The following is a 22,860-nucleotide window of genomic DNA, read 5'->3' as shown; positions in this document are numbered from 1 at the left end:
CAGAGTGGCCATTTATCAGGCTTACCTGATAAATGCGGAAGGATTGTCATCCTCATGTCACAGGTGAGGAAAGTGTGGCAGGTCATACTTTATTAGGGTTGGAGAAGCAGGATTAGAACCAGCACATGCAGCCCATAGTCTTTGCACAGGAGCTCACTGCTGAGCAGAGAGGGCGCAGAGAAATCCCAGGAAGGAAGCCTCATAAATAATGGCCCAAAAAGAGAGGAGGGAGGTGGCAGGCTCCATTCAGAGGAAAAGCACTGAGGACCTGCAGAGAGGATGGGACAGCGGCAGGAGTAAGGGTGGCTGCCGCAGCTAGAACGGCCAGTCCTGACTCAGCTCAAGCAGACAGGGCGGAGCAGCGCCCCTGGAGGAAGGGCCCGGCCTTCAGCAAACTGGGGTTCCAGGTCTACCTACTTGGGTACGCCCCAGCTCTGTGACCTGGGCAAGTTCTCTTCCTCCTCTTGAGCCTCAGTTTCCTCCTCTGCTTAGCAGCGTAAAAACACGCCTTTTGCCTTGCACCGAGGTTTGCGCACCCCGTATTTGACAATGTGCCTGTTTTTCTGGCACACCTGGTTGTGCAATGTCAGCGTCTAGAAGCCGCTGAGCAGCGAAAGCGGAAACACCTACAGGGCACTCCTCGGGCCCACCCACCTGCGGGAGGCGCCCTGAGACCGAGAGGCCGCAGCGCCCGGGGCCTCTGCCGGCTGCCCCTCGCCTCCCGCACGGAGCTCGCTCGGGGAACGCCCCCATCCACTGCCCTCCACAGCCTCAGGGACAAGGGTGAGGCCAGGGGAGCAGAGGGAGCAGTCATGGCGGAGCTGGAGGCTGTGGCCGACGATCTAGACGCCCTCATCGACGACCTGGACTACCTCCCGGGCCACTTTCACCTGGAGATGCAGTTGAACTTCGAGCCGCGCTCGCCGGCCCCACAGCGCGCCCGGGACCTGAAGCTGCAGCGGGAGGGTCTGCGGCAGGAGCTCCAGCTGGCGGCCGCCCCGCAGCGCCCCGCTGTGCGTCACCTCCTGGGCGCTTTCGCATTCTACCTGGAGGAGCTGGACGAGGCCCGCGAGTGCTTCCTCGAGGTGGCCCACGAGCACCCGGGCAACCTCAATGCCTGGGCCAATCTGGCACACGTGTACGGGCGGCTGGGCCAGGAAGAAGAGGAGGAGGCGTGCGCCGCACGGCTGGCCGACCTCATGGGCCTGGCAGAGGAGCCCGAGGCCGCCGGGGACCCCCAGCTCCGCGCCGCTCGCTGCCTGGCCGAGCAGGGCTACGCGCATGGCTTCGACGTCGGCTGCGCCAGCCCAGAGGAGCGTGCGCGGGGGCTGGCGGCAGGCATCGCGCTCTACGACAAGGCGCTAGGCTACGGGCAGCAGGTAGGTGACCCCTGTCTCCCTACCTCCCTCTGGGAGGACTGTGGTCCTCCCATGGTCCCTTCTGTCTGCAGAGATGCCCCGGTACCCCTGACTCTCTCTCAACCATGGTCTTTTGGCCTCCCAAATGCCTTTCCAATGTGCATCCCCCGCCTGCCCCAGCCAGGCCTGTAGCTCTCTCCTGGGAGTGGAACCGCTTCCTAGTGGGACTGCCTGCCCAAGCCTCTCTTTTGGAAACAGCACAAGCCCAACCTGGACAATTCATCCTTCTTACCTTGCTCCTCCCAGCAAGTGCCTGTTCCTGCGCCTGTGCACACCCACCTAAGTAAAAGGCACAGTCAGGCATCCTGCCAGAAACTTGGGCACATTCCCACCTCTTCTCTCCCCCTCACCTCCATGTGAAGGGAGCACAGGGAAGCACAGCTCCCTTCACAAAGGCTCCGCACACTCCCCTCAGTGCCTTTTCCATGAATGATCATGGCTTCAGTAAGAGAAGATGTGAGAGTCAAGACCTCAGAAAGTACAGGTTGTAGGGCATGGACCTGACTTAAGGACAGCATGCAGGGTAGGGGTTAAGAGAGCTGACCCTGGGTTAGATGGTCTGGATCCAAATTCCAGCTCCCCCGTGCTCACTCACTTCAAATCAGTGCTTAGCACCACCAAGCTCCTTTCCCCTCCCTGTAAGATGGAGATAGTAATGTTACATATGTCATAGGCTTTGTCATCTGTAAAACAGGGACATCCCTCACTTGGTTGATGTCATAATTAACAGTTAATATTTGTAAAGCACCTAGAAAGAGCCTGCACAGGGATGAGCAGGGTCACAGATGACCCCTCCCTCTCCCCGGCTGGGAGAGCTTCCTCTGCTCCTAAGCTGGGTGTAGACATGACCACTGATTGCATGAGGTCAACAAGAACCCAGGTCTCTTGTTTCAGTCCTGAGCCTGTGGCCCTGAATGCCAGGCTACCTTCAGTGGAAGGCACAACCAAGATTGATGTGTTGAATGCGGTCATGACAGCAGGTCATGGCAGCAGAGAGGGGCCTGAAGAGCCCTGGGCTAGGAGCCAGGAGGCCTAGGTTCTTGTCTCAGCTGCAACACTACCCACAGTGGGGCCTTCTTCTCCCTGGGCTGTGGTTTCTTCATCTGTGAAAGGGGTGCAGGAAGCAGGGGCTACATGGTCTCTGAGGCACTTTCCTGCTCTTAGGAGGCCGTTCACTGGGGGAAGCCTTCCTGGAGGAGGTGAGCAGGAAAGCAGTGATTCAGGGGTAGCTATCAGAGGCTGGCTCTTCCCTCTCTGGGAACACGGCCACAGTGGGGATTCCCCAGTGAGTGAACATCCAGATGAGAGAGTGCTAAGCAGGGTGCCCAGCACTCCAGGGAGGGAGCCGATTGCTTCATGGGGGTGTGGCTGCCAACCCTGTGCTGTGTCCTGGGGCATGGCCCAGCAGCTGCTCCACAGTTCTGCACAGAGCAGCTGTGGTCAGCCCCCTACACAAACCTCCAGAGAGAGTTTGGGATTTGGAGACCCTATTTATCATCTGAGGATTAGATGACATCATGCTTCTAAAGCACCTGGCAGAGTAGGTGCTCAAGAAATAGTTGCAGGCAGGATGACAATAATGATGGTTGCATCACTTTTAGAGTCAGAGGTTTCGTTCTGAGCACCTAGTTCTGTTATTATTTTGCTGTGTGGCTGTGGACAAGTCACTTGTCGTCTCTTGTGACTTGCCTGAGTTCCTGCTTCATAAACATTGATCAGCTCCAGGTTTATTGGGATTATGCAACAAATGATGAGAGTAAAAATGCCCATAAACTGGAAAATTCTGGGCATGTCTGAGAGGCATTTACTGAGCATTTTAACATTTATTGAACACCTACTATGTGCCAGGCTCTGTTTTTAAGAAGTCCCTGCCTCTAAGAAGCCCTTGAACAAAAGGAGAAGCAAACATTTGCTTCTTCATTAACTATGCTTACCTGAGCCCCTCTTCTGGGAATGGTCCAAAGGGACAAATCAGAGACGTGTCTACCACTGGCTGAGGACACAGGCATTCATCACAGGCCTGTGTCATTGGCAATCATCTCTAAGTACTGTACACCCAGAGGTCACACTTTCTGAACCAAAAACAGGGCCCCAGGGGCTGACAATGAAAGTACACTCTGGGGATATGGGGACCAAAGGTTGGTATCAACAGTGACCTGGAAAGTCCGGGCCCTGTGGATAAAGTGGGAGTGACTGAGGCAGAGAGGGAACACTCCCCTTCAGCAGGAGTTCCCAGGCAGGAATGAGGGGGGACACACCCAGCAGGAGCATGGTGCATGCAAAGGCCCCATGGTGGGGCCTGCAGAGCACGGGGGCTTGAGTGCCAGCTGAACTGGGGCAAGGAATGAGGCTTGCCCAGGGTCACAGAGCTAGTAAATGGCAGCTAAATCCATGCCACCCTGGTTGACTGCACAGCCTTTGCTCTTTCTGGAGAGTTCAGAGAAATGGGGTATAATGCAGATGGCGAGCAGGATGGTGAGGGGAGACCCCTCGCAGGCGTACTCCTGGAAATCTAAGGCAGAGGAGTATGGAGAGAGAGGAGGTGGGTGGGTTTCCATGTGTCCAGAGACTGGGGAGGATGAGGTAGAAGGTGAAGTCAGAGTCAGGCCAGGAAAGGAGGAGGAGGAGGGACCCCCTGCAGCGAGAGATTTTCCATCCTTGTGGGGCTGGGACCCTCCCAGGTGGGGAAGAGCCTCTGGACCTCAAAGGACAAAGAGCTGCTGAAGAACTGTGAACAGCTGCTCATCTGCTAACCTAAACTACAAAATAATAACAATAATAATAAATTATAAAAGAAAACATTATAAAAGTTAATCATTCAGCCCGTAATCCAAACATAATCAGTGTTTGTATGGGAGGGGGTGTGTCCCTGTGACTTCCTTTCTTTGCTCTTCATTCCCTACCATTTCTTTCTTTCTTTCTTTCTTTGAGACTGAGTCTAGAGTGCAATGGCACGATCTCGGCTCACTGCAACCTCTGCCTCCCGGGTTCAAGCAATTCTCTCAGCTCAGCCTCCCAAGTAGCTGGGATTACAGGCACCTGTCATCGTGCCTGGCTAATTTTTGTATTTTTGTAGAGACTGGGTTTCACCATGTTGGCCAGGCTGGTCTTGAACTCCTGACCTCAGGTGATCCGCCTGCCTTGGCCTCCCAAAGTGCTGAGCCACCGCGCCCAGCCACATTTCTCTTTCTTAAATTACAAAAAATATGAGGAGGCAGATCGCTTTGATCACTCCCCTCCTCCTCCCATCAACCCTCTAAATATACACACATGTGTATACACACGCCATCTCTTACACACATATACACTCACAGATGGACCCTTGGTAGCAAATCTCTAGATTAAGTAGCTATTAAGAGCATAAGCTTTGGAGTTAGACCAGGTGAGAATTCTGCCTCCATCACTAGCTGGCTACAGGCAAGTCTTTATTCCTCTGAGCCTCAGTTTCCTCCTCTGTAAAATGGGATTCTAACGTGAACCTCACATGATTCCTGTGAGGATTGAGAAAACATGAAAAGCACCAGGCAGGGGCACATAAGGTCCTGCCTGGGGCTTCTCCCTGCCTGCCCTGGCCCACAGCACTTCACCACTGCTCTTCAATAGAGCCTTCCCAACCTCTGGCTTACCCCCACATGGTTTCTTTCTTGCCCCTAGAGTGTGGGCATTCTGTCTTGGGCTTTTCTCTCTCTTCCCCATCCACCCTCCTCAATGTCTGACGTAGAGCTGAACACCCAAGAGGAGTTTGCAACCATTGTTTAATTTAGTCGAATAACTGGATTCTGTCTTTAAAATCCCTATTTTTTAAAATAAAATAAATCCCTTTTTAAAATAAAATCCCTATTTATTGTCTAAGATTAAAAAAAAATCCCTGTCCCAAGCCAACTCAGTTATGTTATTTTCTTCCCCTTTTCCCAAAACACTGGTGCTTTAACACAAACACATGCAGTCACATACACACCAGGGCAGGCCCTGAGTAATGACAGGAACCACACCCGCAATGGTGTCTGTGCACCGGGCACTGAGCTCAGGATCTTACCTGCCTTTGCGCATTTAATTTTTATTCAGACCTCACAGACACACCGCCAGGTATTGTGATTCCCCCTTGCACCCCGGGCATAACAGACTCAGGGAGGGGAAGGGACTTGCCCAGGTAGGCCCAGTGCACACGGGGCTGTCCATACTTCACCAGCCAGCTGAGGCGGCTGGGGAGGGAGGTGGCCAGCCTCACAAACAAAGGTGTGGGCATTCCAATCCATCACTGCGCCCAGCGGGGTGGGGACCTGGCGGGAAGGCCCAAGAGAGTGTCATAGGTCAGCAAGCCCAGGATCCCTGGTATGCACGCATGCGTGTCCACACGTGCGCACGCGCACAGACACACACACGCGCACACACACACGACTCCACAATTCTGAGTGGTTTGATTTGGTTCAGCTCCATGAGGAGGTAGATGAAGCTGGATGATATCCCAGGCACTGTGCACACAAGTGCTTTTCATCGATTATCTCATTTGATCATCACAGAAATGCTGGCAAATCCATTAACCCCATTCTATAGACAGCAAACTAAGGCACAGAGAGGCGTTGTGTCTTGCCCAAGGGCACGTGTGGCTGACAGGAACTGAACTCAGGTCTATGGGACATCAAAGCCCAGGAGGAGAGACAGCTTTCCTAAGGGTCTGGCTCCAGCCTTATGTGGTCTTGGGGTGCTCACCTTTGCATATCAGTGCCCTCTAAGTTTGCTACTGGCTTCTCTCCCCACTTAGCTGGGAAGTTTGAGAGCTGGGTACCCTCCTCCTCATAGATACAGAAGCCCAGAGAGAAAGCTGATTTTAGCATCATCCAGCCCAACCACCTCTTTTACAGGAGAAAAGATGATGTATGTGAGAGTGCAGCACAGCACAGACCCACGGGAGGAGCTGAGAAAATTCAGGCATCACTGTTGTTACTGCAGAGGGTAAGAGACTTCTGCAGACCCACTCAGCTACTACCGGTGCTAGAGTTGGATTTGGACGCTGGACCAGATAGGGAATGGCCCTCTCACTAGGGACAATGAAACAGAGAAGTGGCTCAACACAGGCCAGCAAGTCTGGGACCCAGCACAGAGCAAAGCTGACTCACAAGGCCTGTGTTTGCATGACAGACCTAGGACCAGAAAGGAGGTGGCAGCAGGGAGCCGCTCAAAGCTTAAAATCTGCAGGGAACTGTCCAGGGAGCCCAAGACAGGGCCAAATATTTGTTTCCATGGCCTAACACCCAAGTCCCAAATTCCCTCCACCTGTGCGCATACCACCTCAGCCAACATGCCTATGATGCAGGCAGGCCACATGGGGTCACCCCTGTTTGCAGATGTAGAAGCTGAGCCATGCCAGTGGGCTCTCCAGGACCCCTAGAGGAGTGAGAGGCAGGGGTGGGATTCCAATCTCATCTTCTGTTTCCTCCCCACACCTGACAAGGCAGGAGCACAAGAGCATCACCACCCACAGCTGGGTGTGGGGAAGAGCAACCCCCTTCCCTGCCTGTCTTGTACTATGGCCCACAGGCGGCAGGCTGGGGCCAGGTGGGGCGGGGCTCAGTGTGCAGGAGCAGAAAGGCTGCTCTGTGTCATCACAGAGGACATTCCAGTTGTGCAGGAAGGACATATCCACAGGCCTGCCACCTTGTGACTTTTATTTCTGCAGTGTCAGCCTTCACAGAGTCAGCATGATGAGGTGGAAACAACAGGGGCATTGGAGGGAGGCAGATCTGAACTTGAATCCTGGCACTTCTGCCCTGGGCTATGGGGCTGGGCCGGTGGCTTTTTCTGTAGTCTCTGTTTCCTGATCTGTAAAAGGAGGAAGATGCATTATACCTTCTGAGGCTGCTGTGAGAACCCAGTGCCATGATGCACTGAGGAGCCCAGTGACACTGGAGAAATGTTCATTCTCTTTCCTGTTTGTCATTCCTCCTCCCCAGAAAGAAAATTAGTCAGCTTTCAGGAACTGACTCTGAATCTAGAGGACAGCCTGTCATCAGGGGCAAAGTTCAAAATACAAGGCAAATATTTTCCTTAAGAACAAGCAAGGTGTCTGTATAGCCTATTCAAATGCATATATATTGTAAGTCATTGGGGTAGTGAAAGATCTTCTATTGGAATAACTTAAAATAGCCAAGCTCCCCAACATTTCCTTCTTTTGGGGCCATCTTTTGAAGTAAATGGGATGCTGATATCCAACCTTGTACCCCACCCGAGTTAAGACATACCTACTCTGGTAATGGCTTATCCTAATCCTACCATTTCCTGCAGTTTCTGTCGGGTCACTAACCTTTTTTGCTTCCTCACCCAGCCCACAGGAGCTTCGATCTTCAGCCTTCCCTGAGGATCACAATTTCTGATCCTTTTACTCACTAAAAAAGAGACAAATCTTCTAGCCCATTTTTGCTCCACCTTAGGGTAGTACAGTGAGAGCCTTGTGCAATGGTTCTCAAACTTCAGCATGCAGTAGGGGGCCTGTTAAAACACAGGTTGCTGGGCTCCCACCCCAGAGTTTTAGATTCAGTGGGTCAAGAATTTGCATTTCTATCAAATTCCCAGGTGCTGCTGCTGATCTTGCTGGTCTGGGGGCCACACTTTGAAAACCGCTTGTCTAGGGTAGTTGGAGGCAAAGACTCTGGAGCTAACTCGCAGAGTTCTCAGCCCTACTACCTGCTAGCTGTGTCACTCTGGGTGCATGCCCTAACCACTCTGTGCCACAGTTGCCTCATCTGTAAACTTGGGAGAATAACAATCCCTACCCCATAGGTAACCCTTGAGAAAGTCTAATGGGGTAACGCATGTAAATGAAGTGCCTGGTGCATAGTAAGTGTTCAAAAGTTGCTATTATTAATATAGCAAAAGAGCATTATCTCCAGGTTTCAGTCGAGACTGTTACACTGGACATGTGACTGTGAAGATAGCATCTTGCCTCAGTCTTCCCATCTGTACAAAGAGGGTAATGATACTCCATTTACATTCCATGAGGCTGTTCTGAGGATCACATGGAATCTGTGTGAAAGCCCTTTGTAAATGGTAAACACTGTACAAACACTAGCTCCTTGCAGCTAGATCTTGTGGGAAGAGCACTGAAGTCAGAGAGACCTGGCCTGAAGTACCAGGTTAAGTAGGCAACCTCTGCTTCTGTCAGCCTCAGTTTCCCCATCCCTAATATGAGGAAAGTAATAGCAAGGGCCTCAGAAGAGCTGGGAGGTGTGCTGAGAACACCTCACCTGAGGTCTGTCTCTCATGCTCACCTTCAGCTCATACCAGGGTCTACAAATTTCATTTTAGGGTCAACATGGGCCTCGCCTAGTTCCCTCCCATGAATCTGCTACAGAACAGCAGCCTAATGTAAGCTCCTCTAGCATAAACCTGGACTCACACGCTGGCCAGCCTCTCTCATAGACCACGGAATCCCCAGCCCACGGGATTGTGATAAGGATCGAATGAGAGAAAGGTGGGGGTGTCCTGACCGGAGGCCACCCACCCCAGGCAGGTTCACTGTAAATACTCCTCTTCTGGCAGAAGTCCTGTGAGCCTCCTCCCAGGCTGCCTCCAAACATCTTGCCTCTGGGAGTCATAAACTCTGTAACTGAATTCCTTGCAGCCATAAGAGGTTTCACAGCAACTTTATTCTCCAGGATAGAGGGGGAATACCCCCTCCCTTCTCCAGGAGGGGAGGGGGCAGTCACAAGCCTGTTTAATTTAATTTAATGCACTATGGCTTGCCAGGTTGCCCCTAGTAACAGCTTCAGCGGCTGCTTCAGTTACTGCTTCAGTTACAACCAGAAGGACTTTTAAAGAGACAGTCCAGAGCCAAACACAGTGGCTCAAGCCTGTAATCCCAGCACTTTGGGAGGCCGAGGCGGGCAGATCACCCGAAGTCGGAAGTTCGAGACTGGCCTGACCAACATGGAGAAACCCCGTCTCTACTAAAAATACAAAATTAGCTGCGTGTGGTGGCACATGCCTGTAATCCCAGCTACTCGGGAGGCTGAGGCAGGAGAATTGCTTAAACCCGGAGGCGGAGGTTGCGTTGAGCCAAGATCGCGCCATTGCACTCCAGTCTGGGCAACGAGCGAAACTCCGTCTAAAAAAAAAAAAAGAGAGAGAGACAGTCTATTTTGGAGCCAGAATTGCACCACAGAGTGAACAGCCAACACCAGCTTCACCACAGGGATAGAGGAATAAAGCTCAGGCACAATGAGGCTTCTGACTAGGTCTGTGTATCCCATTAATTCTGTTCCATTTCCACTGACCCCATCTGCAACCCCACAAGCCCTCCTGCAAATGCTGCTCTCAAGCGGGATCTGATGAGGGACTACTTTAGGGATTTGTCACACAGATGACACCCAATTAGCTACTTTTTTGAAAATCAATTTTAGTCATCAAGTTGAAGGGGAGGAGAGTTGACGCTTAGGAGTTGCCCCTGCAATTCAGGCATAGTGCCACCAGGTGGTGGTATTGCTTGCTTAGTGAAAACCTTAACCAGGCTCTTGAATTAATCAGTAATAGTCAACAGTGCGCAGAGTGGTGGTGAAACCACTGGACTGTAAGCTCTGATGCTAACTAGTGTGGAACCTTAGGTAAGCCACTTCGCCTCTCTTGTCTCGGTGTCCTCGGATATCTAGTAAGGAGATTGATCAGGATAACTGAGTGTTGTGGACAAGGCTTGGGAATAGGATCATGGAGGCATGAATCTAAGCCCCAGCTCTATCATGTACTGTGGTTTGGACACATAATTTAACTTCTTGCCACTTGAATACCAAACAAGAGAGTGGCTGGGAGAGCCCTGAGGACAACACATTAGTCTCCAACACTGGGGACCTGTGGAGGCAAGAAAGGTGCCTGGGACCCAACAGGGGACTGGAGGTCCTGAGGTCCTGGGAGCATAGTTGGGAGAGGACAGCAGGGTGCCACAGGATGGCTCCAGATTCCAGGGCCAAAGACCACGTTGCCTCATCGGGCACTGAAACACGCCACAGTGGACAAAGTAACCTCCTAGGGAACACTAACCCTACTCAGCTCTACCCAGACCAGGAAAAAGGGAACAGACATCTATTCTGGGCCAGGCACTGCCCTCACAACTCCTGAGAGGCCCATATGATTATCCTCCTTTGCAGATAAGGACATAACCTGCCAGGGGTAACATCCCCCAAGGTCACCCATCTCATATGGCCAGGCCTGCCAGGCACACGAGCCTCAGCTCTTCGCTTTCCCACCCCTCAAGTCTACTACACCTGTTCTTGCTGGATGCTAGGCTCCCTTGCCAGGAGCAAGGAAGGCAGAGTGGGTTCTCTTTCTCCCCACCATGACTCAGTTGAGCCAACCTCAAAGCAGGTGAGGGACCAGAGGTCATGGGATTGCTCACATAGAAGCAGCCAGGGGGCCGGACGCGGTGGCTCACACCTGTAATCCCAGCACTTTGGGAGGCCAAGGTGGGCAGATCAGTTGAGGTCAGGAATTCAAGACCAGCCTGGCCAACATAGCGAAACCCCATCTCTACTAAAAATACAAAAACTAGTCGGGTGTGGTGGCAGACACCTGTAATCCCAGCTACTCGGGAGGCTGAGGCAGAATAGCTCGAACTCAGGAGGCAGATGTTGCAGTGAGCTGAGATCACATCACTGCACTCCAGCCTAGGTGACAGAGCAAGACTCCATCTCAAAAAAAGAGGAAGAAGAAGAAGGAGGAGGAGGAGGACGGAGAAGAAGAAGGAAGAAGAAGGAAAAAGAAGAAGAAGAAAGAAGAAAGAAGCAGCAGCAGCAGCAGCAGCAGCAGCAGCCAGGAAGCCTGAGGCACCCCATGTGCCCCTGATCCTTTACATGGTCAGGCTTTGACACATCATGCCAGTTTGGCCCACACTAGGTGCTCCATAAATCCCAGTCTCCTTTTTCCTTCCCAGGTCCAGTGTAAGTAAAGCAGATAAGGGTATCCAGAGTCCTATCCCTGCCTTTTGCTTTGGGAAGTGTTCCCCACTTCTCAGGGATGCCCTTTAAGCCTTGAGGCCATCCCTTCTCCCCTCCAGACAGTCCTATTCCCAGCTAAAGTCCCAATATACATATTCCCACCTAAGTAACAGGATTACCTTTCAAGGTGATACAAATGTAAAGGCACACATCCGTCGGATCTTGGCATTCCTGAGCTCTAGCCTCTTTTTCTTTTAAGAAACACGGTCTCACTTTGTTGCCCTGGCTGGAGGGCAGTGGTGCTATCATAGTTCACTGCAGCCTTAAACTCCTGGGCTCAATCAATTCTCCCATCTCAGGCTTTAGAGCAGCTGTGACTATGGACTTGCACCACTGTGCCTGGCTATTTTGATTTTGATTTTCGAGTAGACAGGGTCTCATTATGTTGCACAGGCTGGTCTTGGACTGCTGCTGGGCTTCAGAGATTCTCCTGCCTCACCTTCCCAAAGTGCTGGGAGTACAGGCATAAGCTACTGCGCCCAACCCTCCAGCTCTATCTCCTTCTATAACTCCCCACTACCTTGCAGATGAGCTCCAAGTCCTGACCCTGGTACTCAGGGGCCCCTCCTGATTATGCGCCTGCTGGCTCTTCCCTCCACTCCTTACCATCAGGGTTCCAGCCCTCTGGCTGCATGCAGACCCCAGCATGCCTTGCTCGCTCTTCTCTGAGCTTTTGCACTTGATGTCCCATCCTCCTAGATTGCCTTTTCTCACCGTATCCACCTGGGTGATTCCTACTTGTCCTTGAGGACCCTGCCCTAGTACTTCCTCCTCTGGATAGCCATGGGGATGTTCCTGGATTATACAGGATACCTCCTTGGGCTCCCATTGCCCCCATGTTCCTTCTACTCTATTGTGTCTTTGGGTCTGGTTTTCTTGCAGGACCCAGAGCCTGCCTTTTCTCTCCTGTCCTTATTGCCCAGCCGAGAGCCACACAGAGAAGATACTCAGGGAATACTGACTGAGAAATGCAATTAGTGGGGCCCCTTTTGGGTGGTCTGACTGGGACCTGGGTTCCAGACCCTGTCCTGATGGGTGGTCACACCAGTTGGTGGGATCTGACTCACAAGGACCCCTCCCTTCAAATTCATCCAAGGTTTCCCCGGAGCAGCCACACCTAACCTGCTAGCATTGGCTCCCCCAGATCCCCATTCACACACTGTGTGCTGCACACCCATCAGCTGCCCATCCCCAACGTCTCCAGGCCTCTGCTCACGGGAGCCCTCCATCTGGAGCCCACCCTTTGAAGTGCCAATATGACCCAAGACCCTCCTTAAGCCCACATCCCCCAGCTGGGAGTGGCCTGCCCATCCCCCACACTTCCTCTGTACCACTCTCATGGCCTCTATCAGGCCTGGCTTCATACCACAGCTATTGGCAACCCAGTGTGGGGAAGCAAGCATGGGCTTTGGAGGCTGACAAACGGGGACCAGATCCCAGCTCTGACCCTCAAAAGCTGTGTGACCTCAGGCAAGTCACTTTATCTCTCTGAGCTTCAATATGTTCCACTATAAAATGTGGATAACAGCTACATGATAGGTTTGTTGTGAGATGGAGAAAATGGGTGTCAGGATCCTGGCACATGCAGGCACTGAGTGGCATCCTATTACTGAAGCCTGGATCTGCTTCCCCTGCCAGGTTGTGAGTGCGTTTGGGTCAGGGTGCAGGTCCCATTCAGTGCCACATTCCCAGAGCACCCAGCACAGGACCTTATGCCATAGGTGCTCACAAATGCATTCACCCCAGCTGCTGGGGACGGGGGTAGAGAGATGATGGGTCCCCCTCCCCCACAGCTGAGGAGGCCACAGTCGGGGTGGCAAGTACAGAGTGAAGCCTCCAGATCAGGGACGGGAGATGAATGTGGAGGGAGGGGCTGGAGCCTGAGGGAGAGCTGCTGATATGCACTGGGGGGTTTTACTGGTTTTCATTAAAATTCCTTCCCGAAGCTGGAGCAGCTACTACCATAAATAACAGCATAAATATTTTATCTGGTGCCCAAGTCGCACAGCAAGGTTGGCAGGAATAATAATGGCAAAACAGTTCAGGGGGGTTCTTGGGCTTCAGCTGAGCTGGGCTCACTTAACATGACCAAAGGGACTTTCTCAGGAAGGTGAAGACTGCAGGGATGGCACCAAACGGGAGGCCGGTGGGCGTGGAGGAGAGGGTGGGCAGTGGGGTGTGCGCCCTGGGGTTGGGGGGCCTGTGGCGGGGTGGGGAGGAAATGCTCGCCATACCTGCTCTAGGATAGGCACCTCACTGGGGGCCCTCACAAAGTCTCTGTAGTCAGAGAAGTGAAGTGACTTGCCCAAGGCCACCCAGCCAGTCAGGGGCAGAACCAGGACTGTAATCAAAGGTGTTTAAGGTCAAAGCCCTTCCCACTTGTGCCTGCTGCCTCTTGGGGTTCAGTGAGTGTGGGAGTTTATGAACAATGGCCAGAGTACCTCAGTAATGGCAGTGTGGGCTGTTCTCTGTTTCCCTAGATCCCGATGGAGGAGAAAAGGGGCTGGTATTTCACCATGGCAACACTCTACATCAGGTCAGGCAAGAGGGTGGTGGGGGTACGGGATGGAAGAGGGAGAGGTGTGGCCTGGCACCCAGCCAGCAGGGTAAGGGCAGAGGTGGCTGGGCCCTTCCTACTGGAAAGGGCTCCCCAAACCGCCACCCCCCACCACCACAGGCCTGGGCAGGGCTGGCAGCACACAGGACAGCCGGGAGGGGTGCCACCCAACCACATCTCCTTCTCGGCCACAGGCTAGATGGCATCTTCCTGGAGCTGGGCAGTGAGGAGCAGAAGAGACTGCCTGCCTTCAACCGCACGCTGGCCCTACTCCGGCAAGTGCTGAAGTCCGAGGACCCCCGCCACCGAGGTGGGGACCCGGGGGATGGGTGGGACAGCAGCCTCTGCCCCCTGCCAACAGCCCGCTGGCATTGCATCCACCTCTGGCATTACCTCCCCTTCTTGGCTCCTGTTTCTTCCTCCTTCGCTCTGTCCCCTACACTCATCTGTGCACCTCAAGGAGCCCACATACCTTGCCCAAGTGAACATGCCAACTACAAGTCACTGTGACTGCAGGCTTGCCCGTCTGCAGCTCATGACCTGGAGGGTGAGAGGTAGTTTCCCCTATTTCCACCTATTTATGGTCAGAAGATTGAAGCCTCTGTTGGAGAGGAGTCGAGTCATTTTTTTGCAGGGCCAGACAGCAAGAGCAGGGACTAGAACCACCAGAGCTGGTGAGAGCTGAAGTCAGAAGAGACCTACGTACCTGAAATTAGGTCCCCCGATGACACATTGAGCACAGAATAAGCACTAAAATGGGTTCACTAACCCCTCACATGGCCCCTCTCTCCACCTTTGCTTCTCTCTGTCCCTGTGTTGCCCTCAGTGATCCCACTCTACTATCCCTTGCTTTGTCTTCATGGGTGACACCTAGGATGGGGATGGCCCCTTCCCTCTCTCCACCCTGCTGCTTCCTAGAGACCCTCTCCCACCCTTCACCCCCAGCCCTGGCCTGGTGCTACCTCGGGATGCTGCTGGAGCGGAAGGACACCTTCTCCACCACCCCCATGGGCGTCCATGACTGCGGGTACTCAGGGACCGACCCTCTAGACTGCTTCGGCAAGGTACTTGCCCCCAGCCACACCCACCCTCTAAACTGAGAAGGAGCCTGGCACCCCAGCCTCTCCACCTAGAACCCAGGCTTCTCTGGGTATCAACCCCCACCGCGTGGCCCACCCAGGAAGTACACTTACTCCAGACCTTGCTCTCCATCCTCTCTTCATTCAAAACAAAAGAGACCCTCCCCATACCCAGTCTGGCCCCAGCCCATTTCTCCAGCCTTGAAATAGACCCTTAGACTTTTTCCCTTGAGACCTTCATTCACAGTATTCCCTCTGCCAGGAGTTCCCTACCTCTCCACCCCCAGTGGCATAGTAGAAAGATGGGTTTAGCTGGTGTCTCCTTGCCAGCCCTGCCCATAGGCTGTGTGACCCTAAGGCAAGTCACTTACAACAGGAAGCAGTCAATGACAATAGTGAGGGTAAGTGTTATTACCCAGGTAGAAACCCTGTACTTTGTAAGGTTGGGGGATGGGGGTTGCCTCTGGCCCTTCCTCTCACCTGCCCTAGGAAGATGGGAGAGCATACACTGGGAAGGAGGGGTCTGACTGGGCTCTGGAAGGCTTTACTGGATGTGACCGGTGATGTGGTCGTGGGCCAGGCTCTCAGGAGTTGAGTGCCAATAGGTTGTGCCCCAAGGTGTTGGGGCTTCGTGATGTGACAACTTACTGGCAGGTGGATAAGGGTGGATATGGGTAAAGGGCACCATGTTGATACGGCTGTATCCAAAGATGGGGTTCCTGTGGTTCAGCACTGTTTAGCCAGCTCTGGCTAATGACCAAGCAAGTGGTTTGTTTTTGCACTCCTCCCTTACCTAGGCCATTGAGATTGCCAAGAACCAACCTCCCATCCTGAATCGCCTGGCAAAAATCTTCTACTTCCTGGGAAAGCAGGATATGGCCATTGGAACCTGCAACATGGCCCTGGATGTCCTACGAGATCCAGAACTCAACTGGCAGGCGTACTGCACAAGGGCCAAGGTGGGTCAACTTCCTGCCCCACCATACCCTGCCATTGGGAATCAGAGAACAAGGGCCAGAGGCCAAGACCCTGTTGCCAGGGCCCAAGGGTCAGGGAGTCCTCATGGTGGAAGGGAGCTTAGGAGCCATCAAAAAACACAGTTGGGTTCTATAAAGTTTTTTGTTTGTTTTGAGACAGTGTCTCGCTCTGTCACCCAACTGGAGTATGGTGGTGCCACCACGGCTCACTGCAGCCTAGACCTCCTAAGCTCAAGCAATCCTCCCGCCTCAGCCTCCCAAATAGCTGGGACTACAGGTGCACACCACCACACCCAGCTAATTTTTGTTTTGTTTTGTAGAGACGAGGTCTCACTATGTTGCCCAGACTCGTCTCAAACTCCTGGGCTCAAGCAGTCCTCCCACCTCGACCTCCCAAAGTGCTGGAATTCCAGGTGTGAGCCACTACACCCAGCCCTGTAAGGTTTTTGAGTGAAAGAATGCAGGAGCCTCCACTCACTGCAGGAATCCCTTCTACAATTCCTGGTCAGTGAGCCCCCAGCCTCTTCTGGATTGGCACGGGTGGAATCAGACTGACCAGAGTTGAAATCTGGCTTCTCCGCCTTGTGGAACTTGCAGCAAGCCACTTACCCCCACAAACTTCAGTTCCCAAATCTGTAAGATATAAATAACAACACTTTCCTTAAAATGTTGTCAACAGACACAGTGAGGTAGCATCTAAAGCACAGTGCCTTGGACATAGGGGGTGCTTTTCTGAAAGCCAGTAGAGGTCATTTAATATAGTGGATCAGAGCTCTGGCTCTGAACACAGACAGCCTTGGTTCAAATCCCACAACACCACGTGCTACGGGACCTTTGGCAAAATACTCTTGCCCAGATTCTGAGCCTCAATTTCTTTATCTGTAGACTGGAGTTGTTATGAGAATTACATTAGATTTTGTATGTAAAACTCAGCATCAAGCACACAGTAAGATTTCATAAGAGACTGACTGCTACTAATTTAATATTAGGCATATTTTTGAATTATCTCACTGTCTCTTGATGCAGTCCACTGCATAGTCATTCAGCTCTGCAAGTTACACACTTAGGTGAGTTCTGCCTCCTGCTAGCTTCCCGCACTGGTCCCAGACCTGCCTCCTAGAGCCCACACAGAGCCCATGTGCTTGAGGAAGCCGACTCGGAGCTCCCAGTTTACTTCACTGCAAGCCGAAGAGTCCTCCCATCCCCTCATCTTCTCCACTACTATCCACATGACCTAGTGGCAAATCTACTCCCAGTCTTGGTCTCAGTGGCTTAATTACTTTGCCAGCAGGTACGAGGCAGGAGTGAAATTCCTTCACTGTCGTGGATGTGGTTATTATTCTAGATAATAATGACATTAACCATAATAGTAAATAATAAAATATCTCTATAAAATTCTGCATTTCATCAAGCACTTTCAAGTTCATGGTCTGATTTAATGTTCACAAGAACCCTCTGAGAGAGGCCGGACATGTCCATCCTACAAATGAGGCCACATAGAACCAGGGAGGCAGGGAACTTCCCCAAGGAACTGCATTCAATAATCAGAAACTCCAACTTTACTCTCCTCCCTCCATCACCATCTGGTGTCTTATGATCCTGGCCTCTCTGTGGTGCCAGAGGTCACACTTACTACTCAGATGACTAGAGGAGCACAGGATGGTGGAGAAGAGATGGGAGGAGGAGGGAACTCACATTATCTGTGTAAAAGCCTCAGTCCATGCTGCGGCCCATAAGCGTGGCCCTGGCCTCATGACCTCTCTACCCCACCTCCCTCTGCTCATGCCTCTCTCAGTCTTCCAACCCTACTGGCCTGGGCCTCTGCCTGGAATGCTCTTCTCCCAGATATCTGATTGGCTTCCTCCCACACTTCCTACAGGTCTTCTAGTGGCCATCTAATTGAAAATATCAAAGCCATGCCAACATTTAATTTGTTAATTAATTTATTTTTAAAATTATTTTAGAGATAAGGTCTCACTCTGTCACCCAGGCTGGAGTGGAGTGGCATGATCACGGCCCACTGCAGCCTTGAACTCCTGGGATCAAGTGATCCTCCCACCTCAGCCTCCCAAGTAGCTGGGACCACAGGTGTGCACCACAACACCCGCCCAGCTAATTTTTTAAAAATTATTTGTTGTAGATACAGGGTTCTGCCTATGTTGCCCAGGCTGGTTTCAAATTCTTGGGCTCAAGCAATCCTCCAGCTGCAGCCTCCCAAAGTGCTAGGATTATAGGTGTGAGCCACCACACCTAGCCTCCGCCAACATTTTATGTTTTCCTTTCCTGGTTTAGTTTTCTTCTTAGCACTAATCACTCCCTTACACACTATTTACATATTTATCATGTTTATTTTCTCTCTCCCCCAAAACATATAAGCTACTTAATGGCAGGGATTTTTGTGGTTTTGTTGTCTACTGTATTCTCAGTGCCTGGAACAGTGTCTGGCACAGAGGAGGCTCTTAATGAATATTTGCTGAATGAATAAATGAACTGAGCACCTACCATATGCTAGCTCCTGACTAGAATATGTTCTTTCAGACATCATGGTAATTCCCCAAGGAAGATATTCATGTACTAAGTTTTCAGATATAGAAATGAGGTTCAGGTTCATAGAGTTGTGGAACTCCCTCCAGATGACATGGCTAATAGCTAGGGGTTAAGGGAAGGACTGGAATTCAAACCCTAGTCCAACTGACCCGAAAGCCAGAGATTCATCTCCCCCTGCCTCCATGATGCTGTCTTATAAGCAAATCCCTTCTGATGACTATAAAGCATTAATACCTTCAACAACAATAACCCCTTTTCCCTTGCTTCCTTCTACCCAACCCAAACCCACCCCTCCTAAACCTCCAAACTTTGTAAATGCTCTAAGTGTGGGGAAAATGGAGGAATTCAGGAAAGCAAGGGTTTGAGATCATTTGTAATGTGATGCTTGGCAGTTGGGGCCACCTGCCATTCTTCCCAAACTGCTTGTTGACATAGACTCTCACAAAATCGGTGCTGCCATCCTACCTAAAATAATCCTCCCCAATCACCTCTATCCCATTGCCATATTTATTTTGTCATAGCACTTACCACTTGAAATAGAACTGTTTACTATTGACTGCCTCCCCTACTGGAATGTTAAGTTCTGCCAGAGCAGGGACCTCATCTATCTTGTTACCACGGTACCTCCTGTACCCAGCATAGGAACTGGCACATGGTGGGCACTCAATACATATCTGCTGAATGAGTAAGGGACTCTTACTTCATCCTACTCACTCATTGCACAGACAGGGAAACTAAGGACCAGAAAGAGGGTATGGCTAACCCAAGTTGGTCCAAGGCTAGGACCTAGGACTCCTGGGTCCTGGCCTCAGGGTCTTTCTACTGCAACACATAACCTCCCTGGTTGCTGTTGAAAAAAAGACTGGGTTCATTTAGAGCAGAGAGGAAGGCAGAGGCCCTTGCCTGGATCATCTTTCCTAAGCTGGCTCTCTGTTGGCAGATCCACATCAGAGCCTACCTGCATGACCTCAAGCGGGCCAAGATGGGTCTCGGGGGCATGCCTGACAGGAACCACCTGGCCTGTGCCAAGGCTGACCTTGAGGAAGTGGTCAGGGTGTGCCCAGGCTTCAAGGCGTACCTGGACATCGGCCAGGTAAGGCAGTCTCTTGGCTTAGCCAATAGCTGAGCAAGAATCTGTTTACTCCTTGCCAGGCTAGACCAAGGGCTAGGCCAAGATGCAGAGGAAAAAGTTTCACTCCCTGATAACAGTACCCATCTCCTCCAGCCGTGGTGAGGACTGAATAAGACGTGTGTACAGTATTTAGAATAAGGCTTGGCTCTTCCTAAGCACTCAGGAAGTGTGGGCATTATTCTTTATCTAGAAGATACCTATTCTCTATCTGTGTTCAGGGAATGTTTACCAAGAAGTGACAATATCATAATTTTAGGTACAAGAAAACCGAGATCCAGAGATTGACTCACTCAAGGTTATATAGCTAGGTGTGAAGGGGCTGGAACTGGAATCGGGGTACTCCTTTTCTAGAGGAGCAGGAATAAAACGTGTGATTAATAATTGTCGATGGAGAGAGGGTGGGAATGAGTGAAGGAGTGGAATTTTTTTTTAAAGCAAGCGTGGGGCGGGAATGAGCGTGGAGCCGCGCCTGCGGTGAAGGGCTCACCCCGCGTCCCCGACCCCAGGTCTACTACTATATGGGCGTGGACGCGGTGCAGGAGCTGCTGGCGGTGGACGAGGCGGCGCTGAACCAGGCGCTGGTGTTCCTGGCCAAGGCGGGCGAGTCGGAGCTGGGTGCCACGCTGCCCGAGCTGCAGCTGCTGCGCGGCAAGTGCCTGCGCATCAAGGGCGAGGACGCCAACGCGGCCGCCTGCTTCAAGCGCGCAGTGGAGCTGGACGACGCGGGCTCCAGCCACACCGACGGCTTCGGCTGCCTGCTCGAGGCGCTGCTGGCGCAGTGGAGCCAGGCACAGCTGAGCGACGGGGAGCTGGGCCGCGAGGTGGACGCCTGGCTGCGCCGCGCCCAGGACAAGTACCCCGCGGCGCGCCTGCGCCAGGAGCTGCAGCGCGTGTGGCGCGGGCACACGGACGAGGTGTTGGGGCTGGCCCGGGCCCTGGTGGCCCAGGGACGGCCGGCGCTGGTGCGGCTGCTCTTCGAGACCATGGAGCGCGAGGGCGAGGGCGCCAGCGCGCCGCGGGACCGCCGGGCTGTCTCATTCTAGGGCTCAGGTGCCCAGGCCGGAGGCTCCCTGGGACCCCGCCCAGGCCCCGCCCAGCTGATGGGACCAGGTCCGGATGGACTCCCTGCCTTAGGCTGACCTGGGAGCGGAGCCAGTTCGATTCTTGGTCGGGAATTGTGAATGGGGATGTTGCGACACCCGCGCGGTTTGAAACGCCCACCCAGACTGGAAGGCCTGATTCCCGAGAGCAGAAGAGGCTGGGAGCAGAGGTGAGAAAACACTGGGAAGCTGCCAATTAAGGGACAGAATTTTCTAGACATACAGGTAAAATAAGATGGTTGTGAGGCTTCTGAGAGAAACAGAAGACAGCTACCTCAGTGTGGCAGTTTTCTAGTCCGGGCGCTCAATCCCTCAGGCCTGAGTGCCTGTCTTTGGACTCCGGTAGGCCACACTCTATCCTTATGAGAAAGCCCCGTTTACTTTAGTTGACTGGAGTGTGGTCTCAGCTCCTGCAGCCAGAAAAGCCCTGACTAAAGCAGAGGGCAGGGTGGCACGGCGAGTGAGTTACGGGACAGGGCCCTAGCCTAAGCCTCGTGCTCAGGGCTCATTCCTGCCTCTCTGCTACTTTTCTAGTAGGCCTCCTTCTTGGTCCGCTTGGCCCAAAAGGCCTCCCAAATGCTCTGAAATAGAGCTCATCAATAGAACCTTCACTTGATTTCCCTCTTCTTGGGGGAAACTAAGGGCGCCACCCATTAGGAGGTGCCACCTGCCCCCCCCCTTTTTTTTTTTTTTTTTTGAGAGGGAGTTTCGCTCTTGTTGCCCATGCTGGAGTGCAATGGCACGATCTTGGCCCACTGCAACCTCCATCTCCTGGGTTCAAGCGATCTTCCCGCCTCAGCCTTCCAAGTAGCTGGGATTACAGACGTGTGCCATCAGGCCTGGCTAATTTTGTATTTTTAGTAGAGACAGGGTTTCGCCATGTTGGTCAGGATGGTCTCGAACTCCTGACCTCAACTGATCCACCCGCCTCAGCCTCCCAAAGTGCTAGGATTACAGGTGTGAGCCACTGCACCCGGCCCTGCCCCCAGTCTTGACCATTCTACTAATTTTAAAGAACATCTTGGAATTTTACACTCTTGGAATCATAGTCGTAGAATCCTTTTTTTGAGACAGAGTCTCACTCTGTCGCCCAGGCTGGAGTGCAGTGGCCAGATCTCAGCTCACTGAAACCTCAGCCTCCCAAGTTCAAGTGATTCTCGTACCTCAGCCTCCTGAGTAGCTGGAATTCCAGGCTGTACTCACTGCTTTGCTCATATCCTCGCTCATTACCAGGGACAGGCCAGCACCCCTGCATTGCATCTCACATATCCACTGATGGATGGAGAACAGACTGAAATTCAGTGCCTTAGAGACCACACACTCCAACCCCCTCATTGTGCAGATGGGAAAACTGAGAGCCATAGAAGGGAAGTGGCTTGCCCAAAGCCACACTTACTGTTTTCCCCACACTGTACCACAAACTTTCACCATTCTTCAGGTTTGGAAAAATACTAATAAACTGATCAACACTAAAGTATTCAGTGTTTATATGTTAAAGGTTTGTGTGTCACTTGTTACACGAGTCACTCTGATATCCACTTGGACAATGCTTCAACACTAACGGTGGCATTCCGGGTACCTGTGAAATATGGCAGGGAGGCCACCCTAAGTCTCCTGAATTCTACCTCATGGGTCACCATGGTTCACCACTTTGAATGGTGACATTCTCTCTCACCCTCCTTCTCCTCTCACCACCATTGCAGCAGAGGCCAGGAGGTGACTCCACAGCAGGCCACACGCACCCCTGTCCACTTCTATCCCCCACCCACCCCTATCCCTCTTATGCCCAAGACTGTGACCCATGACCATCCCTAGGATGGGAACCCATTTCTTTCTTCTCCTTCCTTAAACAAACAAACTGAATTTAAGGCAGTCTTCTGGCAAAACTTAGAGGTTGATGAAGTTTATCTTTTGCCCCAGGCTCCCTAGTTTGTTTCCTTTCTTGCCTTTCCTGTCCCTAAAGGCATGCATTTCTCCCTCCATTGCTTCCCTGTCCTCTCATAACTTTTTCAGTAAACTTTCTGATAATCTCGTTCACCCTAATTATATAAATGGTTAACACATGCCCGC

At 52.3% G+C, this 22,860-nt stretch overlaps 1 protein-coding gene and 1 long non-coding RNA gene across 5 annotated transcripts, besides 9 other annotated features; one reads left to right on the top strand and one right to left on the bottom strand.

The window, feature by feature from the left end:
- Positions 85-850: an enhancer, noted in NCBI's record as "H3K27ac-H3K4me1 hESC enhancer chr1:55266799-55267564 (GRCh37/hg19 assembly coordinates)". NCBI's record gives its function as "activates a minimal SCP1, AML or CMV promoter by ChIP-STARR-seq in primed H9 embryonic stem cells {active_cell/tissue: H9 hESC(primed)}" and the evidence as "EXISTENCE:reporter gene assay evidence [ECO:0000049][PMID:30033119]".
- On the top strand, positions 653-22,264 carry TTC22 (tetratricopeptide repeat domain 22). 4 transcript variants are annotated; one of them, NM_001114108.2, is made up of 7 exons: positions 653-1,379; positions 13,879-13,934; positions 14,150-14,265; positions 14,901-15,019; positions 15,832-15,993; positions 19,499-19,651; positions 20,197-22,264. In NM_001114108.2, exons 1-7 carry the CDS (start codon positions 813-815, stop codon positions 20,731-20,733), a joined length of 1,710 nt encoding a protein of 569 aa, NP_001107580.1. In that variant the 5' UTR covers positions 653-812; the 3' UTR covers positions 20,734-22,264. The 4 variants fall into 4 exon arrangements, with proteins under 4 accessions (NP_001107580.1, XP_011539973.1, NP_060374.2 ...); XM_017001582.2 differs by lacking the exon at positions 653-1,379 and adding an exon at positions 4,565-6,371; XM_011541671.3 differs by lacking the exon at positions 19,499-19,651.
- Positions 706-785: a silencer, noted in NCBI's record as "silent region_925". NCBI's record gives its function as "represses an Ori minimal core promoter by ATAC-STARR-seq in GM12878 lymphoblastoid cells {active_cell/tissue: GM12878}" and the evidence as "EXISTENCE:reporter gene assay evidence [ECO:0000049][PMID:35858748]".
- Positions 976-1,055: a silencer, noted in NCBI's record as "silent region_924". NCBI's record gives its function as "represses an Ori minimal core promoter by ATAC-STARR-seq in GM12878 lymphoblastoid cells {active_cell/tissue: GM12878}" and the evidence as "EXISTENCE:reporter gene assay evidence [ECO:0000049][PMID:35858748]".
- Positions 1,156-1,225: a silencer, noted in NCBI's record as "silent region_923". NCBI's record gives its function as "represses an Ori minimal core promoter by ATAC-STARR-seq in GM12878 lymphoblastoid cells {active_cell/tissue: GM12878}" and the evidence as "EXISTENCE:reporter gene assay evidence [ECO:0000049][PMID:35858748]".
- Positions 5,177-5,715: an enhancer, noted in NCBI's record as "H3K4me1 hESC enhancer chr1:55261934-55262472 (GRCh37/hg19 assembly coordinates)". NCBI's record gives its function as "activates a minimal SCP1, AML or CMV promoter by ChIP-STARR-seq in naive and primed H9 embryonic stem cells {active_cell/tissue: H9 hESC(naive and primed)}" and the evidence as "EXISTENCE:reporter gene assay evidence [ECO:0000049][PMID:30033119]".
- Positions 5,716-6,255: an enhancer, noted in NCBI's record as "H3K4me1 hESC enhancer chr1:55261394-55261933 (GRCh37/hg19 assembly coordinates)". NCBI's record gives its function as "activates a minimal SCP1, AML or CMV promoter by ChIP-STARR-seq in naive H9 embryonic stem cells {active_cell/tissue: H9 hESC(naive)}" and the evidence as "EXISTENCE:reporter gene assay evidence [ECO:0000049][PMID:30033119]".
- Positions 6,886-7,180: an enhancer, noted in NCBI's record as "tiled region #10932; HepG2 Activating DNase matched - State 8:EnhW". NCBI's record gives its function as "activates a minimal TATA promoter and a strong SV40 promoter by Sharpr-MPRA in HepG2 cells {active_cell/tissue: HepG2}" and the evidence as "EXISTENCE:reporter gene assay evidence [ECO:0000049][PMID:27701403]".
- On the bottom strand, positions 7,068-11,241 carry LOC124904182 (uncharacterized). The gene is made up of 2 exons (XR_007066099.1): positions 8,917-11,241; positions 7,068-7,238 (listed from the first exon to the last, which is right to left on the bottom strand). It is a non-coding gene; the product is annotated as an uncharacterized LOC124904182 (long non-coding RNA).
- Positions 19,768-20,309: an enhancer, noted in NCBI's record as "H3K4me1 hESC enhancer chr1:55247340-55247881 (GRCh37/hg19 assembly coordinates)". NCBI's record gives its function as "activates a minimal SCP1, AML or CMV promoter by ChIP-STARR-seq in naive H9 embryonic stem cells {active_cell/tissue: H9 hESC(naive)}" and the evidence as "EXISTENCE:reporter gene assay evidence [ECO:0000049][PMID:30033119]".
- Positions 20,310-20,852: an enhancer, noted in NCBI's record as "H3K4me1 hESC enhancer chr1:55246797-55247339 (GRCh37/hg19 assembly coordinates)". NCBI's record gives its function as "activates a minimal SCP1, AML or CMV promoter by ChIP-STARR-seq in naive H9 embryonic stem cells {active_cell/tissue: H9 hESC(naive)}" and the evidence as "EXISTENCE:reporter gene assay evidence [ECO:0000049][PMID:30033119]".

Source organism: Homo sapiens, chromosome 1, assembly GCF_000001405.40.
Source record: "Homo sapiens chromosome 1, GRCh38.p14 Primary Assembly".
NCBI classification, from domain to species: domain Eukaryota; kingdom Metazoa; phylum Chordata; class Mammalia; order Primates; family Hominidae; genus Homo; species Homo sapiens.
Note: the sequence above shows the minus strand (reverse complement) of the source record. Positions and strands in the feature narration are given on the sequence as shown.